Raw genomic sequence first — 21,266 nt, forward strand, 5'->3', positions numbered from 1 at the left:
TGAACCAAAATATAACAGATGACATTTAAAAATAAGATAGTTAATGCTACCTATTACATTTCCCATGATGTTAGCTACAGTCTCCTATGTTCCAACCAAGAGGATATATTGAACACTTTGGAGAAGATTTTCTTTTTCAAAACCATTCATATTTGATTCCAAATAATATTCCAATTCAGCTGATATATTGGATGGATCCCAAACACACCATCTGTTTTTTATTCAGTTGTACCTTAGCAAGGCAGAGAAATGAAGACCCCTTGCTCAAAAATTAATTTCAAGACAGTGACAGCAGATCATTTAACCAAACTCAGGGCCCTTCTGAGCTTGGAGCCCTGTACAAATGCACAGGTCACATGCCCACAAAGCCAGCCCTGTGGAGCCCCTAGATTCTATGTCAGGCACAGTACCAGGCAGGAGGTACAGCAACGGCTTTTAATCCATAATCCCGATGTCCAGAAAGGCTCAAATGTAGCATCAAAGATCCTGTTAGGCAATAAATAATCAAATATGAAATAGGTTTAAGAACTCAAAGAATCTTTGGATCTCAAACCGCTAGGTAAAGGCCGAGGGTTAAGTGCTAGTTAAAATGATTCAAATTCAAGTGGGCCTCTCTTCAGCTTTGCTAAATGTCTTCTTTTATAAATCAATAGGTCAATGAGCTTTTTAAAAAATGACTCTCATTAGATGCAAAAGGAGGACTGCAGATGATTAGAATAGTAAATAAAGCACCAGGATTGCAGTATCATGTTTCTTTCAGTGGTTTTTTAATTTAATAAATGTTTATTGTGCATCTGCTATATGTTTACATTTCATTAAAAATCAAATAATATCTCACTTTTTTAAACCTCTTACCAAAAAGAGAATTCTAAAATTATGACCGAAGACTACAAAATAGCATCTGAAATATGAGAGATAGCAGTATCATCTTTATTTCCTCATTCAGCACCCGTGCTCTGAGCAACTACTCCGGGTCAGGCACCGTTCTAGGCATTAGGCATTCAGAGAGGAAAAGACAAACTCTGCCTTTATTTATGTAGTTCATTGGAAAAGGCATACAGTAGACAACCAATTCTTTCAAAAAATACTGTTTAAGATATTTCAAATTGTAATTCCAAGATACAATGGAAGATTGCATTTATTCTAGGATTTTCCTCCAAGAAACATAAACTTCTCAGTTAAGAGGAAAAACATCTTCTCCTACTGACCCTAAACAGAACTATAGTTTTGGTCACTGCAAAGGCACAAAATTTTTCTGCAGTACAAAAGGTGGAATATATGCCCAAAAGTAGATATATTTGTAATTCATGTGTTAATCAAATCACATATGCTTAGACTATAATTACAGACAAGGTACTGGGTTTGGATTAATGTTATAAAAATTCAGAATCTATGCAGTCCATAAGGACTTTTCACACTCCATTTTTCATAAAATAGTATGTTAATCTCCTGGTGATTATGAGATTCAACTAATAAGTCTAAGGATCCTACTTAGCACCTCCAACATGATGCTGCATCAAAACTGGGGATTATTGTTCATACAAATCTGGAGTAACTGGTCCCTATAATACTACTACTAAATACTTTCATAGTACCTTTGCGGCCACATCTTTTGAGGCCACATAGTTGGGTCCTCTGCCTTCTGTCTATTTACTCTCTCTGTTTTAAATCTTATAGAGAGTAAACAGATAGAATGCAGGAGACCCAATATGTGGCCTCAAAGGATGAAACTAACATGCACTTTAGAAGTTCTCCTTGTTCTACCACACAAACGTTCCATACAATTTTATTGTGAAGGAAAAAAGGGAATGAGAATCAATATTTTTAGAAAGTAATCTTGCATTAACATAGTGCTTTCTAGTTTTATGAAACTTTGTCACTCACATAACCTTGTTTGTCCCCAAATTGTTTAACTGTAAGAGTGTACTATAATGGATTCTGCTCTCCTAACATAATACCAAGGAGCCACAACCTTCCCTCTATTCTTAATCTCCAATTTTATTTTCTTAAGTGGGCCACTAAGTATATCTGTACCAACATTTTTGTGCATTTCATAACCCATAACTTTGCCACCATAACAACTTGAACTAAGCTCAGATAGGAAATAGGATCGTTGTGTTATATTTTGTCAAGGAAAAAGGGAAAAGCTACCCCAAAAAGACAAATTTCAAAAATCTAAAGCTATTATTCCAGATGTACTCAAATAACCTTAAATTTCCTTATTGCATAAGTAAGCTGAAAGTTTCCCAAGAAAAATGACATCGTACTATATGCACATCTCATAATCCTATGGGGACTTCTTTTAAATGAGAACATTTAGGCAACACTACTGAAAGCATACATAAGTCAGCGGTTAGCTTCATGACTCAGTTTAACTTAAACATGTAAACATAGTGTATGTTCCAATTTGGAATGATTTTTGAGGTTTACTAGAAACTACTAAATAATATTTTCATTTAGTAAGTCCTTTCTCTGTCAACTCTTTGATGTAAGAAACCTTAGCAGACCTCCCAGTGAACTTTAGCATTTTGGCTGTGTGTCCAAAAGAACAATCTACCATTACAAAGCCTATTCATGAGTCAACCAGGGACGTAATCACAATCACGACTGCTCAGCTGATACGACTCTTCTTTATCATACCTGCAAGTATGGAAGACACGTAAGATTCAAGTTACTAAATTATAGATTATTAGTACTAAACATCGATTCTTAAATATAGTTCTAAAGATGATTCATGCAAATTTAAACTTTTTTTAAATTTAACAGCTTGGGTTAACTTGCTTGTGTTCAACTTTTTACGTCTACCTCTAGCAAAATAATATTATTATAAAAACAGTAAAAGTCCATCTAATAATTTCAGTATAATAAATCCAGGGCTTTGACACTGTCTTCAAATTCACAAGATCATTAGTATTCTTTTAAACCAAATTAATCATATTCCCTAAATAACAACAGCTAAAATCATGAACACTGAGATCATTTTCTTGTAATGATTCTGTCTGGAAGTGTATTAACGGCATGATGTTTGTGCTTTGCACTAAACATTCATATCTTTGTTTCCACAACAAAGTAAAAAGGTGGCAGTTAGAGGGAGAGTTAAACAAGGTTTCCTGTGAGGGCTTTGTGAAAAGAAAGAGCGTATATTCTATCCGGGCAATGACAAACGGACTCAGGCCTCCTGAGGTCAGCGCTCCTGGGCACCATCAGGCCCCACTTCGGGAGCCCCCGGTGCTCCGGGCCCACCTGACTGGGCGTCCTCTGAGTCAGGGAGGTGCCAGTGCTGTGGTCCCCGCGAGCCCAACTGTCCCCTGACCCCCGGGCTTTTCCGCACCGTGGAGTCCCCCGACACGCTGGGGCCAGTGAACCCGGGCCGGGGCGCGCGTTCTCCCTCCCGGACCAGCTCCCGGCGCTGGGCCCGCGGCCGAGAAACTAGGTCTGGGCCGGCCCTGCGGCGGCCGCCGGGCGCGGCGAGCCCCACTTTCTCCCGGCAGGAAGGGGGGAGGCCGAGAGCATTTCCTGTTGTGCAGCTGAGCCCTGCGGAGACGTCATTGCATTCATGCTCCCTCGGGTGTCAGCGGACGGGGGGCCAAAGTTCAAGCCGCGTCCAGGGCAGGCAGCGCGCGGCGGCGCGGCGGCGCGGGGCGGGCGGCCAGGGCTCCCCTCTCCCGCTGGCGCTCCCGGCGCCTCCGTCCCCGGCCGGCCCAGCGCTGCTACCGGAGGCCAGCCCTGGGGCTCCGCGGGGAAGAGCTGCTCTTCCTCCCGGAGGAAACCGAGCTCGCAAGCCCAGCGCTCCCAGCCGCAGACTGCAGGCTGCCCTCCTCCACCGCCTGGATTTCCCACGGGGAGGAAAAGGCGTGCGTTTCCAGGTGTTTGGAGGACGCACTGGCCGGGCGCACTTTCCTCAGCGTAATTTTGAACGCAGTTTCCCTAAAGATGACTCTTTTTTCCACTAGGATTATTTCCAAGTCATCAAAAGTGAAAAATCACGTAAGTGTTGTTGCAGTTGTTTTCCCCTCGTTTTCTATCTCCTTTCCAATTGTGAATTCCGTAAATAACTGTCAGACATAAAACAGGAAAAGGAACATTTCTTCACTGCAGAGCTCCAGTAAGGTGAAAGTAGGCAAGAAGGCCCCCTGAGACGTTTCTAAAAGCATATTCTATATGTTTTCATTATGAAAACACCCACTGCACTCCTTTTATTTATTAGGACCTTAAGTTATCCTATCTCAACTAATACTTTTAACAATCAGAATCTCTTAAGAATCTTTCAATCTTATACTTATCCACTTTAATAGCCAACAAAACCTTTAGCCAGAGTGTTTTAAAATGGAAATTACCTGTTCATGTTTCTTAAAGATTTTTAAAGTCTCCTTCTAAATTTCCAGCCTTCCATTTAGTTTCAAGCCATAAACCAGATTATAACAATGTGTAATTGTAGAGAAGCTGTGGCTTACGGTTAATAACGATTAAAAATAAGGCCATAAGGTATTTTATGATCATTTTGAAATAAAAAATTGAAATAGTTTAATTTCAGCTTGTGCAGTTTGAGACAGATCGTCAACTACAAAACAAATTGTAGATTCTGTTCTCATGGTGAACAAACATTACAGATGTTTTACTGTGTCAACATCTCTAACATTTGAACTAAGCAATGTTTCACATCAGGACATGAATTAAAACAATGTAAACTATGGACCTGGGGTGACCATGATGTGTCGATGTAGGTTCTTGGATTATAACAAATGTACCACTCTAGCGCAAGACTTCGATAGTGGAGGAGGCTGTGTGTATGTGGGGACAGGAAGTACATGGGAAATCTCTGTACCTTCCGCTGGATTTTGCTGAGAAGCTAAAACTACCCTAAAAATATAAACTCTATTTTTAAACATATGTTTAGGGTTTTATGAGTATCCTGATACTTAAAATGTGCATTGCATTGTAACCTATGAATTGACAAGAAATTAATCTTAAGAATTGGCACAGAAATCATCTCGATGTTTTCATGAAGTTCATCCTCGGTTCTACTGCTTCTTGATAAACAAGTTTCATGTTTAGAAGGTTACTGAAATTTTTTTATATGGTAAAGGCACATCAAAGACTTTACCATTTAATATATATTAGTTGTCCTATCCAGTCATGTACTATTTAAGGCAATATTAAAGGTAACTTAGATTTCCCCACTTACAGTGATGCAAAGCCCTTCAATAATATTCTGTTGTCTTATTTCCTAAACATCTGAATAATACAACTTTATCACATGATATCTTAAATTTGCATAGTATATTAGAGTTTGCTATTTGCTTCACATATATATATTTCTATCCCGATTTTTTCAAGAAATAGGCTCAGAGAACTGAAATCTCCACTCAGTTCAGGACTAGCATAGCTAGTCTTTCAATCTTGCTGAAAAGCAATCGCAAACTCTTCTCATTTTCAAACTCCTTATTCCTAACTGCAACCACTTCTTTACTTCCCAGTGGCCAGTGCCCCTGAGTGTGAGTGCTGAGAGGGGCCTGCAAAAAATCTAATCACATCCAACTGCTTTATTTACTTGGCTTCCCAAACTGTATCAAATGATTCTTGACTGTAAATGTGATTCCACTGTATCCAATCCTAGGAAATACTGTAGTGGATATCTGTTTCCTGAATGATCTTACACCAACTTTTTTTGGGGTGTCTTTTCTCCTTCATATCAATTGTTCTTTTATCCATTAAATCTCTGCAGCAATTCTTGTGTTTTTGATTTGAACATACTTATACTTGTTCCTTCAAATCATCTGCCAATGGTATACAATTAGCACTCCCCAAGCTGCATGTGACTCCCCAAATACTGCCTAAGCTCAGTGAAGATTTTATTCAAAATTCATGCTCTCTGGTCTATACCTAGTTGCTGATGATGGCACTTGGAAAGGACAAAGAGGGAAGACTTAAAAATGTTTTATTTTATAATCCTGATTACAGGCTAAATAAAATCAGTATTACCATAAATTTAGTATAGACTGAGGATATAAAGATCAGTATGAGAACGGTAAGATAAATTAACTTATGAATAAATACACAATTGAAAATATAAACCAGAACAAAAAAAAAGGAGTTCTTCAGGTTCCTGGTGCTATTTTCAAATGCACCTCTTTTACACCATGAAAGAGAAGAAATAACTGTGAGGATAAAAGGAAGTTTTGCAGGATAATGTATTTTACACTTTCTCTTTAGAAAAAAATTAAAGTGCTCCACTTTTGTTACTTAAAGTACATCATGAAGTGCGCAATTCCAACCTAAGAAGATATATTATTTCATACAATGAAAAGGATTAAGACTTGAAGTTTCCCAAACTAACCATTTTAAAACTCATTGTTTCATTCAGGATTGGTTTCATTTAAATGTGTAGTTAGAATATGAGAGAAACAGTAAGTTGTTACCATAATGTTTGGCTCTCCATGCTTCTGAGATCCAAGTTCTCTAACTCAAGAGTCTCCACATTTTCATAGACTTTGAAAAGTCTTTGATATGGCCAGACTGTATCTGACAGGCTGACTTGTTTCACAAACTGGCCTCCTCTCTAAAAATATTCAGAAGGGCATACTAAATTTTCACTCTTCTCTAACAATAATCAAATTGAGTAATATCCTTCTCAAATGAGCTTTCACCAGTCATTTGTTGTTTTTCCAGAAAACTGACTCCCAAGATATGTGATGACAAAATCAAGACTCTCTTCTTTCTGAGGTCCACATCCTATTTCCATGACACACTAAACGACTGTGTTGTTCCTCTACAGCCAGTACTTTCCCAAATCAAAGCCCAGCTCAAATTAAATAGCTGAAATGAAAGGAAGGGAGCTCACTGAGTGAACAGATATATATAGGAATGAAGAGAGAAGTGAATCATGCACACATACTCATGAACATATAAGAATGAATGAACCATTCATGAAAAACCTACCTACCTACTTGCTTGCTTCACAATCTTTGGTTCCTATAGAACCCTTTTCTACTGTGGTATCTCCAAGCTCAGTGGCTTTATTTTTCTTACAAACTACCCATAAAACTATAACCTTCTCTTTATTAAGTGGCCTTCAGCACAAATTACTAATGCCTCAATCCCTTCAAGGCTAGCTAACTAAACAAAGTACAGCCCCTGTAACTGAGACAGTCCCAAGACCTGCAGGTGGTTCCAGGACTATTCATTCACTTCTCTGGACAATAACAAGATGTATCATCACCTCGTACCTTTCGGGCTGTAGGTAAAAGTCAATATATTCTCAGATGGAAATATATTTACATAGTACTCAAGTGTTTGAGAGCACATCTCCTTGTTCAGCCTCCATCTATATTAAATACTTCAGAATAGGCCCTCAATGAAATCTAAGTAATAGTTAAGTACTCAGATGGCCTATAATCAAGCATGTTATTGAAACAGCAGTGTCCCCACATGAATTCAAGTAAAACAAAATTATTTTTTATTACAATATAGTATTTTCCTATTCTCTCCTAGTCACTCACAAAGTCCTCTGTACTTCTCCAGAACCAAAAGTGTGACTAGAGCTAAATCTAAAATGTATTTATTTCCATAATGATTAAAAGAAAAGTTCCAAAATCAAAGTACCCACTCAGGAAACAATAACTTCTATTTTGGCAACAGATAATTATTAAATCTCAACTCTCTTCTAATATATCACTTCTGCATATAGGTCTACTTGTTCTATCAAATATGTGACCATTTAAATATTCCTTCTTTACTATTCATTATGTGGAATAAGTCATCTGTGCAGGAAAATTAAGAGAGTTTTCTCATAGGCACTAAAGGCAGTCTAGAGCTCAAGTAGGAATTTTTTTAATTGTTATTAAGATGCAACAAAACTTTATTGTATGCGTTTAAACTACTTGTAAGACTGCTATCTATATAGTGCCTTACAGTATGCTATATAGATAGCAGTCTTACAAGTAGTTTAAATGCATACAAGTACTTCCAAATATTCTGTATCCCCATTTTTAATCAACAGAAAAATATAAATTGACGAAAAGGTTAATTTATACTAAAATGACAATCATTTGAGCTCAGCCTAGTATCAGTATGGCATGTCATTTATATTGCCAAAAAGTAGGAGGTAGAAAAGGTATGTGTAACTGGCACAGGTGTGAATATAACAATACATCCATCAGCAATACACTTACTTTAGCTTCATGATTAAAGTCACTATCCTTGAGATTGCTGGCTTTCTAGGACACAGACAGTATATAAAAATAATATGCCAATTCAAAGCAAACATGTCTTCTATGCAAAATACATATACTCCTTGCTACTTATAAATGCAGTTGAATTTTCTGCATAGAAATTTTCACATACTTATCTTTTATCTGTTCGTTTCATTTCATTAAATTGTGTATGTAGTTACAGAACTGTTCAATTCAGGGACCAAATTCTCAATGGGGTAAATTACATCTACCATTATCTATCGTTTTAAGTCCAAACCCCTTAAGCTGGAATATGAGTCCTTAGACCATATATCCCTATCTTCCTAACTTTCTCACCAACATTTACTTAATACATATTTTATGCTTCCCTCAAATGAAATGCTTCTCTGAAAATACTCTTGACACTTTCCCATATTGGTGTGTGTGCCCAGGTAAAGCATTTCCTTTTGCTATCTCCTGAGTCCTCGGCCAGGGTTGATGTTGCGCCTTCTCAGTACTTCACGTGTGCCTCTCTCATGGTACTTAACCTGCTTCTTTTAATTACCGCTTCACTTACATCATTCTTTTCCTCAGTATGGTAGATTATAAAGTCCTGATGATGAGAATAGTGACTCTTCTTTATATTTTATGTTCTACTTACATTTATATTCTATCTATATTTATACTCTACTTCATATTCCCATATATCTTGCACATACCAGAATCTCAAGAATTATATTTGTTAAAATCAATTTGCATTACATTATTATACATTCCAACTCTGTTCTAGTTATACTACATAAAAAGTCTCAGCAAGCATGGCTAGTCCTTTTCTGTAAAACGTTTCTAAGCCAGTTGGTAAGAGGCTGTCTTCTGGAAAGTAAATGGTAATAAGCAATTTATTTTTGAGGAGTTATTAAAAAAAACTCAGCCTGGAGTAAATTTCAGACATGAACAATCTGATCCCTGGGAAATTAATAAAATAAAAATGAAAACAACATCCTATGAGGTCTAGTTGAAAGAACTGGGAATATTTAGCCTGGAGAAAAGAATACTTAAGGTGAACAAGATTGCTATCTTTAAATAATTGTAGGATTGTCATGCAAGACAATGAGTAAACTTGTTCTAGATAGCTGGAGAGGGCTCAACTGCTGGTAACTAGAAATGTCCAAGAACGGAATAGGCCTCCCTAAGAAATAAAAAGGTGTTTAAGTAGAATCTGAATGCAAGCAGTCCTTGGTAATTTGTCCTAAGTGATTTCTTGCTCAGTTAGAGATTAAATGATGCCTCCAATAGTTTTATCTAATCCTGAAATTCTGTAAGAAACTTTACATTGCAGAGTGTCCTGTCACCAGTTGACAAACCAAAACTGAAACATCAGATCCTACACCTAAGAAAATTAATCAGCATATTTAAACTAGACACTTTAAGAGATGCCCTAAATAAGGCATCATTGCAGTAACACAAATTGTATCACAATGAAAGGAAGAAGTAAAATTTCTCACAAAAAGCTCAACTGGGACCGATGATGCAGCCTGCTCAAAACCAAAAGCTGACCTATCAGAAAGAAAGCAATGGGAACAGGTTGCACTAAATAAGGAAGCAGTCATTTGCATGTTCCAAAAGAACCTCAGAATTTCATTTCTTCATGCCTGCCCCACTCACTGCCTCGTTTATTTAGAAATACTTACATGTCAAATACAAATAAGAATAGTAGCCTGATGTATACAACTGTGTGGCATACTGTAAAACTTTGAAATGAAATTTAAACCAAATTGGTTTGGCTCAAAGGAAATTAAAAATGTTAGATATACTGTTTGGCATTGTTTGATTTTTAAAGCTATAAGAAGGCTTAGTATAATAATAGCAGGCTTCAAAGCAATGGGAATTTTGTGATTAATTTCAAAATGTCTTCTGTTTGCTTCATACTGCTCTCATCCTACAGCCGACAAGAATATAGGAAAAGAAGGACTATCAGGATAATATCTTCACAATATAAATTATTGGGATTATTTGTGAAGATGTAAAATTTTTCCAGATGGCTATTAATACCCATCAGGACCATTTTCAGACATCATTAGGTTTCACATTAGCAAACTCCCACCAAACATAGCCAAAAACCAACTGATGACTGAAAAGACTTGGACTTTGTCCATTAGAAAATTTAATTTCCACACTCAGTGTCTAATTATTTGTTATATTCTATACTGTCAGATTATTATTTTAAAAGGTCATTTAGAATATTCTCAGCCACTTGACCCATTTTAAAATTTACACTTGATTGAAGTTGGGCACCAAGTTTATCATGAATAGTACTAAGGTCATTTGAAAAAGTAAACAGATTACAAATCCAAAAACAAATGTCTTTAGAGCCCTTTCCTTTTGTTTGAATGTGGGTATAACTCTCTGAATACTTTGTGACACAAGTGCATTAGTGACCTACACAAAATTTAAATCCATCAGGAGATATTATAACAAGCTGTGGAACTGCTGACCATTATCTTTCTGAAAACAATTACATAGGCCTGTAATAAATTGCATCAATATCAGTCAATTATCTCAACAACACTTTACTAACCCTTGTCACCAATGTATTGCTGTATATCAGATTTTTTTCAACAATTGAATTATTCTCAAAACTTAGTGTTGCTTCACACACTAAAAATAGCCACTCTAATTCTCTTGTGTTACCCTGCTGTATTCCCAGGAGGTAGGGGAGTGCTATAAACAATGCTTCATTTTTACAGATGAAGAAATAATGAAATATAACAGAGGTACAGCCTCTTGGCCTGAATCCTTTTGAAAATCAATAATAAGGCAAGCAATCAACTAGTGGGGTCAGAGTTTCAAGTCATCCATTCTGGTGTTCTCTAGAGCTCCAGTGTAGGCTCTAATGAGCACAGCCTCACAAGAGCAGAAAAGATATCTGAAATCCTCATTTTACCCAAAAAGGCTACATCTCTATATCTCTCCCAACATAAACTTTGACACATGACTACTGACAAGAAAATAAATTGAATGTTTATAACCCTGGATTTTTCCCTTGCTTAGAGAAAGCGAATTTATTAAAATGTAAGCATCAGCAGAAGAAAGAAAAATAAGTTTGATAACTATTCCATGGATAATTAGAAGCTGAACTTCCCATGATCTATCCATAAAGTACTGGACCAGCCATCAAGACCATCCCAAGGGACATTGCTGAGTTGCAAAAACAGAGGCTTTCACCACTTGCTTTGCATGAAAGGAAACCGTTTCACCCCAGCCTTTCCTCCTCCATTTGTCTTGGCCTACATGGGGCAAGGGTGTGTAGTGGTGGAAAGGAATACACTCCCTCTTTCACACCTAATTGATCCAAACAGGCACACCAAGAAACAATGCTTCCTCAAACTCCACAATCATGAGCAACAGCCACCTTCACACAGCGTCCTTCTTAGAGCACCCTGAACAGAATATGGTCAAAGAAAGCTGTCCTAGATGGAAGAATCACAGTTCAGCTATAAGCTCCCCTATCCAACTGTAGGGAGAAACATAATTCAAAAAGGCCCTATCTGTTCACTCGCTGCAAAAACAAATGGGAAGTTTAGAGCCTGGGAAGCCCGCAACTATGGGTTTAAGAGATGTTTGGGATTGCTGGATGGACACATGGAGGCACTTGTTTCCTGGGGAACATTAAAATCAAATGTGCCAAGAAGCACTTAAGAGTGCACAGACAGGCTGGGTGCAGTGGCTCATGCCTGTAATCCCCGCACTTTGGGAGGCTAAGGCGGGGTGGATGACTTGAGCCTAGGAGTTGGAGATCAGCCTGGGCAACATGGCAAAACCCTGTCTCCACAAAAAGTGCAAAAATTAGCTCAGTATGGTGGCAGGTGCCTGTAGTCCCAGCTACTTGGGAGGCTGAGGTGGGAGGATCGTTTGAGCCCGGTAGTCGGAGGTTGCAGTGGAGGCCCAGATCGCACCACTGCACTCCAGTGGGGGCAACAGAGTGAGACCCTGTCTCAAAATAATAATAAAGTAAAGGTGCACAGACTGATGAACTCTGGCTATTGGCACAAAGACTAGACAGGACTTGAGCTCCTGGAGGATCTCCTTCATCTGGTTCTCATGGCCCCCATCTTATAGTGTGGCAGGTGTTTTTCCTTACCATTTGGACCGTAAGCTTCTTGAGAATTATGACTTTAAACATCCACCAAATATCAACTGTATGCCCAGCACATGTCATACACTGTATTGAGCACACTTTTGTGAAAGTGAAACCATCCTAATCCACTAGAAATTTTATAGCAAAAATTATCAGTTAAAAGATGAATAATTCACTTAAACAAGATTAAAAATATAAACTCTGAATATAATTTAACTACTTCACTTTGGCAAGCTTATAAATGCATTTAACAATAGGATGTGTCACAAAAATTAGCCGCGCATGGTGGTGCCAGCCTGCAGTCCCAGCTACTCAGGGGACTGAGGCGGGAGATCATTTGAGCCCAGGAGGTCGAGGTTGCAGTGAACCGTGATCGCGCCACTGCACTCCAGCCTGGGTGACAGACCGAGAACTTGTCTCAAGAAGAAAAAAAAAGGATGTGTCATTTGTAAACCATTTTTTTCTTGCCCATAATAAAACAGCCAGCACTTAATTCTCTCTCTCTCTCTCTTTTTTTTTGAGATGGAGTCTCACTCTGTCAGACAGGCTGGAGTGCGGTGGGGCGATCTCGGCTCACTGCAACCTCTACGTCCCGGGTTCAGGCGATTCTCCTGTCTCTGCCTCCCAAGTAGCTGGGACTACAGGCACGTGCCACCACACCAGGCTAATTTTTGAATTTTAGTAGAGATGGGGTTTCATCATATTGGCCATGCTGATCTCGAACTCCTGACCTTGTGATCCACCCACCTCAGCGTCCCAAAATGCTGGGATTACAGCCGTGAGCCACCGCCCGACCACCAGCACCTAATTCTACTAATTCTACAGGTATGAAGGGCCATAATGCTGAACCATAAAAATGAATTTTTAAAAAATCTAGTGCTATAATATTTAGGTGTCAAAAACTACCTTACTATGAAATATATGTACATACACACATACACATATATATAAAATAAATGGGGTATTTCATTAGTGATTTAATAAGTCTTACGATGTTTCTTTGTTATTTGGGTTAAGAGAGACCACTATAAAAGCAGAGATCCTGTAAACACTGAAAAGTAATGCAGTGACTGAATTAGCCATAAAAAGTTTCTAAATTAGTCTACTAGAATGTAAACTCCATGAAGGCAAGGAATTTTTTTTTTTTTTTTTACTATTTTTGTCTATTGATGGATCTCCAGTGTCTAGAACAGCCCTTTCCCAGAGCAGGTGCTTAATAAATCTCTGTTGAATTAATAAATTTTTTTAGAATTAAAGTCAACAGTCCTGTGAACACCCAAGTTGAGTCTCTTAAGTAGGCCCAAGGCCCCACGAGTAATCACTGGTCCTCTGGCTCTTGCACAGAAGTTCGAGTGGGGTAAGGGGTAATTCAGGCCCCAAAAGCTATTTTTAGAGCAAAAACTTCAGAATGATTTTCCACAAAGAACCAGAGAATTTAGTTCACTTCATTGGCATAGCACTGGCTGAGCTCAGTGAGAAACACCCCAGATTTTAATTGATATTTCCATTTGTTAACTGTTAAATGTGAAACCATGTCATTCTAACATTGTTTCTTAAACCATTTCAGTCAAGAGTTTAATGGACCATTTGAAAATATTTAATATTTTACTGTCACAACAATTTGAATTGTCCTATGTTTTTCTTATAGTCTAATACCTTGTTAATAATAACCCATAGCTACCAGGTATTAAACGTTTACTATGTGCTCATTGAGATGGGTACAAACATTCTCATAAAAATTTCCCAATGACTCTTGAATGGGTATTATCCTCATTTTGTAACCTCAGGGAGGTTAAGTAACATACCCAAATTCCCCCAGGTGGTGGTGGAGCTGGAATTTGCCCTATTCTGTCTGACTTCAAATCGAGGTTCTTAATCCCGTGGGCTACCTGTTTATCCATATACTACTAAGGGGAAACATTGTGCTAAGTGATAAATATGGTTGGCCTTTTTTAAATATTTGAAATAATTTTGATGTGTAAACAATTGCTTATACTGCGTGAAATGGTAAAAAGACAAAGCATTTTCGGAGCCAAAGAACCCTGAGTTGGAATCCTGCTTCACCAATGACTAGCAAAGCATCCCCACAAAAACCTTTCCGAATGGAAGTTTCTTTAAGTATACACATCAAGATAAAAAACTAAATCTTCTCAGGTTGGTTGTGAGGGCTAAGTGACGTAATGTGGAGAGAGAGCCTGGGATGGAGCCTGGCACAGGTGAGTGCTCTTTAAGCCTAAATTGCCTTCCTTCTAACGGATTTGCTAAATTGGCACTGTGCTGATTTTTTTAAGTGTTTAGTTCATCCTTGTAATACCATAATTACAGAATATAATGACATTGCATTCTCTACAACTACAAAGTAGAATTTATAAACTGATAGAATATGAGCTGGAAGAAGCTTTAGGAGCCATCTGTTCCAATCTCTTCCATTTCCAAATGAGGTCCAAAGAGCTTCGATGACTTGTTTCCAAGTTTTCACAGAAAGTTAATTGCAAAGACAGGACTAGATCTTGCGTCCCTCCCACCCCCACTCCTGCTATACCCTTCGCTTTTGCTTCACATTACACAGGCATGGCAACGCATGTAATTTTCTAACAATTAAGCAGTATAAAATAACCTCAATTTAATTGCATCCAATTAACAAGCCAAATTAGCGTTTCATATGTACACTATTAAACTAGTTGTCTGCCTTCCAAAAGAAATAAAACACTGTTTCAAATAAATCTAGCGTTTTGGTGAACAAAGCTACTTACAGTTTAAATCACCTTTCCTATAATCTTCTTTATATGGAATTAGACATTAATCTCCATTTTAAAAGAAATATTTTCTGCAACTATCAGGATGAGAATTCACGCTGTATTTAAGTAGCAAAATTTTCTCTCTCACAGAACACCTATGGTTTTCTATGATTTGTATATGTGTGTATGCACACGTGCAAACCTGTACACATATGCACGCTGTCAGATCCCTAATCAAATACAAACGAAGGTGTGTCCACATTTACCTACTGCCCTAGTTTCAAAAGTCCCACCTTTTCCCTAGGCTTCTGAACTCAAGTGAATCTGCCACAGTGCAAATAATAAGAGCTTCGATGATCTGCTTTTTTTCTTCTTGCAGAGAAAATGAAACCATTAAATAAATCTTTGCCAAACAAAGCACTGCATTTCAAATACACTGCACTACACTATCTGTCCAGTATTGTAATGATTTAGATACAGCTGGGTATCAATTAAAAAGCAGTATTCCAGTTAACCACGAAATGAATCAGTGGCCCATTCCTTATACATGTATCCCTAAAAATATAATTACCTTGTAATTTTAACTATAAACATGTCTGCAAGTTGGTGTTTGATGGTCAACTTTCACTACTAATATTTATAAATATATTCCGTAGTAAAAAAAATTTTATATTAGGTTAAAATAATAATGCACTACTTAAAATGTTCAAATTGACAACCTGTCATACACATTTGGCAATGTTTAACAAAATATTTTAATCACTTTTGTTACTTACTTTTAGGGTACTTTTAAACACATCAATTAACAGAGTAAAAGAATTCATATTATCATTCAGTAGGGGCAACTTTCATTACTTCTCTTTAGGATATTTTGGCAATCTAACTGTCTCCTTGCCACCGAGATATTCATCCCATATACCCTCATAAGCTTTCTGAAACACACACTTTATAGCATCACCTCTCTGCTCAAAAACCTTCAGTGATGTCCAGCTTTCTCTGCAGGTCTTTGAGGCACCACAAGATCTGGAGCTACGTACCTTTCCAGGCTCCCAACTCTTCCTCTGCCCTGGTACTATCCCTGTCCCCTCCCATCCCAGGTCAGAGTATGAGGAGCTCCTGACTCCCTTCTTTACTCAGTGAAATTCTACTTAACATTCAAGATCCTCAGTAAAAAAAAGAATCACCTCCTCTCATAAGAACCCTCTAATCTTTCCAGTTGGAAAAAATCCTGCTTCCATTTATACTCTACTCCCAATTGTAAGTTTTAATAAAGTTTACTATAAGCCATGTCTCTTCTAGATTGTAAAATGTTTGAAGTTGGAAATCATCATCCTTTTATCTCTGTTGCTCATTCTGACTCTTGATCTGACTGCAGAGCCCAAGCTTGGAACTACTACATAAAATAGACTCTTTTTGTCACCTAAATTGAATCTCCTACATTATATAAATTATAAAACAGAAAAAAAAGTAATCAAATGATGCAGTGGAAAAAATAAAGGAAAGTGATTTTCACTAACCTCTGTTTCTACTCTTTTGCTTCATATTTTCATATCACACAGACCCCTAATCACATGGAAAGTAAGAAATCAGAACTAAATTTCTCCAAAGATCCTGATACTTGCAATCATGAGGAGAAATTATTGGGATACTTGAATGTCTCAGCCCTTTGCTAGTTGTTTGAAAATATATAGATCTAGCTCATGCAGGGCTCCAAAGATTAATTGGTTACTTCACACAGCGACCTTGTAAAGACTTCTGAATTGGTAGTTATTTATTAATTGAATCAATGATGCTGGCTATTTTTGTTAACTGGAGCACCAAATAAGTATTTTTAGAACTTAAATTATTTGTTATTAAAAAAATCTGCAAATAATAATAGTTAATTTACAGGTAAGTCCTTCAAACTGAAGTCATTACATATAGAGTCATTAAAAATTCCAGGTGCTCCAAAACAATTGATGTGGAAGCACTGAGAAGAGACAGGCGTTATGCACAAGGTTCTTCCAATTTCAAGGTCCTACCCCTCAAAATTGCCTCTCCAAGGATCAACCTGTAACATGATCATTTGGAGGGTCATGATGTGTCCTGATTTGCCAAAGGCAGTCCTCACATATGTCAGGTTGGATAATCATTCCTGTGGTCAACCTTCCTTCAAGGCCCTGCATTACCTTTCTCTTATCAGCCCCACTGGCTTGTTTTTAACTCCTGGAAGGAGCTCCTTTAGTGGTTCGGGTCATTATTTATACCCTGCGTGTCTAGCACAAGGCCTAATCTACAGGAAATACTTGTTGAATGACTGAGAGAGTGAATTGCATTGACCAGCAATAACAGGGCACCAGTCGTAGTACTCTGAATAGAGGATTAAGATTATATGTGAGTGACAAGTCAAAAAGGTTGGCCCTGGGTACTTCCTGAACTTACTTCCATCACTCTGTGACCCAGAAGTAGCAGGTGAGACCCCCTCTGCTTTCTGCCGAGAATCACCCTCAGGCACATAAACATCATGTTCATCTCTTCCTCTCTCCAAAGCACTTTCTCAAATAGATGTAAACAATTAGATCCCAAATTTTAAGGAGGTTGGAAATCTAAAGTTATAGACACTTGTAGAAAAATCACGTCATAGAAAATACCTCAAATGATGAGTAATGGGAGTGTATGTTAAGATAGCACAAATTCGGCCTAGAACAATAGTGACCCAAATATCAGGCAGTTCTGATTCTATTCTAAATGCAGTCACGAAGCCAGTTTAGGCCTGTGTCTATCTAATGTCGATATTCACGGTCCATCTCAGAGAAGCCAAAGATTGCACAGACTAAGAAACCTGTGTTATCCTCTTTCCCACGACGATTTTGGAGTTGTGACACAATAATAAAATGCTAAAATGTTTTCCCAAATTAGTTAGTGGCATCTCATAGCTACAAATACTGGCTTACTCAACCTCTTTTTCATAAGCATTGCCATAAATATCATACAGAAAGCAATGCTTTTGATTGTGACCAAATACCAGGAACAAAGAGAAAATACTACTTCTCATACAATTACTTTAAAATAAACATGATCTTATTTTCATAAAGTTTTCCTATTTCCCTTTAATCCTCTGTGTTCATCCCAAACACTGTAAATCCTACAGGTTTCACAGTACAGCCCTCACTTGAATATTCACTAAAGTTTAGCTCCATACTAATAAAGGATCTGCCTGTATGGTTAAAGCAAATCCATACACTCTGGATGGGTTTGAAGTTCCTTATGAAACCTTAATTTCATTAAGTTGAGTTAGCAAACTTCCTCTGCTCCTTTTTATAATATCACTTTAAAAGTTGTAACAGTTAAATACCAAGTTTTAGCCAAAAATATGAATTCATGATGAATTCACATATAAATCCATGAACTGGAAGCATATCATTGAAATTTTCAGGTAGATATTTAAACTGTGAACCGTTTCTCCACCTACAGAACTAATGTATAGACCAACAGAGAGTTCCGCTGATGCTGATCACATACCAAAATATGAAAACGGTGTTTATTTTTAACAAATAGGAGATGAGCAGCCTGTCTGATCCACAGCCATATATCCGATTGACCTTAGCCACTTTTCCCTTCTGATAATAATTACATGTCAGTTATTAAATTACTTTACATCCTCATGGATTATAGTTTCACTCATGCCAACTAACATTTTCTATCATTCTTTAAAATTACTTTTCCTATGTGAAGCTTTCAAATTGACTTTAGCTAATTACTGATAATAATTTAAAAACTGAAACCCAACCCAAATAGTGTACTTGTTATAATTCAAAAGCTGAAACCCAATACAGTGTACAACACAGAGTTATTTGTTATTGCTGCTGTTAAAATGAGCCCTGCTTTGAAAAAAAAAAATGGCAAATTCTGGAATAAGATTTTTCATTTTAAATTAAATCAGCATAAAAGAGTCAAACAGATCTTCTGAATAGTGACAAAGTGCCAAAAGTTCAAGCAGACACATGCACCATTACTCCACAAGGAACGTCTCCCTATATACTGTCCTCTGTTTTGTTTTCATGGTAACAAGAACATTCACAAACACATCTCATGCAAAGGAGCCTGATCAATCAAAATATTCTGCTGCTTAATCTTTCAATGTAATCAAAGAGAATTATTTTCCTATGTGATAATATACACATAGTAAATTTTTCACATTCCATGTTAAATAGGAATATAGAAATGTTTTATGTACTTTAGTGGTATTTTACCAAACACCTCTACAAGGATCTAACCAGTTAAAAATCAGTTAGATCTTACATTTGTAAGATCATTAATATACCACCATTCCCAAAATTGTCCCCGAATCAGTCACACATCAATTTACTCTTGAATACCCTTGTATAAATATAAGCCATCTCTAATAAAGTTAGCCACATAAAATACAGTCACTGTAACAAAAATACAGATGCAAATAAGCAAATTTTGTTTTATACCCGACCTATGCTCGACGCAAGAAATTGTCTCAATGTTCAAAAGATTCATCATTGTAATACATTTCTGTATATAAGAAATATACTGCATATTTCAAACCTAGTGGTCAAAGGGATTATGACACTTGAAACAAACACACTATCATTAAGTAAATACTGGTAAATCCCTTTCAGCTCACAATGCAAATGTACAGTTGTCATTTGGTACTATGACTCCTTAGGGTTCCACAGGGAATTTTCTCTTAATAATGAAAATGATACCCACTTTAGTCACAGAAAGGACATTTCTGTTCTGATAAACCATTTGGCCTATATCCTAAAAATCAAACCCAATCTACTCATTCCACAGTCTACTTCGTTAAAATTCTGCTTCTGGCACTCTTATAAGGTGAAAAAGCAATGAGACATTTGCTACATATGTAGCAAACATATGGGATCTATATGTGCAAATATTTAAAATAACTTGGTTTGCTCAAGGGCAAATATCACCAAATATTACTATATCACTGGAGGAAACGTTTCTAATAAAGTTAAATGGCCTTTTTCTAGGAGGACAGATCATTGCAAATTTAATTAAAATGGATCTTATTAATATTTCAAGTAATGTCTGGGCTTGATTATGCACTACAAAAGAAACAACTGTATTGAGGAGAAAAATCAATAGCCCTTGACTAGGGCTCTGGGTATGCTAGAAAAACACAGATCTCTTGTGAATTATTGAGGTCCAGCTTTAGGGTTGGGGGCGAGTACCAATATTCATTTGGAGGTAAATTGAGTTATTTTTAAAATGGCAGAAAAGGAAGGAGAAAAATCAGCTCAAATTTTCCATTATAATGAAAGTACAGGAAACAAGCCTTTCTATATTCATTTTAGGCCTAAATAACTCTGCAGAGAATAAGGGTTTTGCAATGTCAGTTGCACACACAACTTCCTGTGTGAATGCTAAGCCATTACAGGTGTCCTAAGGCCTCCAGTGAAACCTATTATCAAGAGATTCCTCTGGTCTCCTCGAAGTCATCCCCAGCGCCCCCCATCCGCCGCCCACACATTATTGCTTCTCTCCTCCAAGTGTCTTGATTAAGGACCCTCTCTCTTCTCCGCACTCCCGAGGTTAAAGTGCCCCCGTTCCCTTGGTGTAGCTAGTTACAAGCTTTCCCGTTAGGGAAGACTAGTGCCTGCAGTCCTTTTTAGTTAGATGCTTTTAAGTCAGAGATGAGAGGAGCCACTTGAAGAAACCCTCCTTCCCTTCTTCCTTTCCCCCACTGGGAACCAAGTCCCTGAAGGACAACACCCAGGGACGCTTCCTGACCTTCTATCCCCTCACCCAATTTGGGCTTGGAGGGTTGGGGTCGCATTTTCTCATGTCCTCTGCTGCACTGGATGTGTTATGTAAGAGGGACAGAACGCGGGAGGCACATGCGTATAAAGCGCACCGATCTGTGATAACAGCTGGGGTAGCAGAGCGGATCTGGAGTCCACCCCCCCCCCCCACCAAATACGACAGACCCCACACATGCACATCAGCACCCCCTCCCCCACACACCCACACACACACACACACACGCACACACCCAGAGCAATGTTTTCCTGTCTCACCCCTACCAGTACCAGAGGCACAGAATGGAAAGGCGGGGGGTGGGGGTGAAAGGAGGTGAAAGAGGAGGAGGAGCAGCAGCAGCACATCTGCTTTGATAGCAGCCGGCAGTGCCGCCGCGGCAGAGAGCCCCTCGTTAACCCCCTTCCTGTGGCTGCACCACGTCATGGA

General features: G+C 38.0%; 1 protein-coding gene across 8 annotated transcripts in view, besides 2 other annotated features; it reads right to left on the bottom strand.

Moving 5' to 3' along the window:
- The window catches only part of HIVEP2 (HIVEP zinc finger 2), a 194,265-nt gene that overhangs the window by 171,914 nt on the left and 1,085 nt on the right, over window positions 1–21,266 (bottom strand). The window contains exon 1 of one of the 8 annotated variants that reach the window (XM_047418714.1): window positions 411–21,207. The exons of the other annotated variants lie outside the window; for them this stretch is intronic. The gene's annotated coding sequence lies outside the window, so the exon portion shown is untranslated. Of the gene's footprint in view, window positions 1–410; window positions 21,208–21,266 lie in introns of those variants that run through there. 8 annotated transcript variants of the gene reach the window in all.
- Window positions 3,292–3,861: a silencer, noted in NCBI's record as "silent region_17615". NCBI's record gives its function as "represses an Ori minimal core promoter by ATAC-STARR-seq in GM12878 lymphoblastoid cells {active_cell/tissue: GM12878}" and the evidence as "EXISTENCE:reporter gene assay evidence [ECO:0000049][PMID:35858748]".
- Window positions 4,763–4,852: a silencer, noted in NCBI's record as "silent region_17616". NCBI's record gives its function as "represses an Ori minimal core promoter by ATAC-STARR-seq in GM12878 lymphoblastoid cells {active_cell/tissue: GM12878}" and the evidence as "EXISTENCE:reporter gene assay evidence [ECO:0000049][PMID:35858748]".

The sequence above is a fragment of the Homo sapiens genome, chromosome 6 (assembly GCF_000001405.40).
Source record: "Homo sapiens chromosome 6, GRCh38.p14 Primary Assembly".
NCBI lineage: Eukaryota > Metazoa > Chordata > Mammalia > Primates > Hominidae > Homo > Homo sapiens.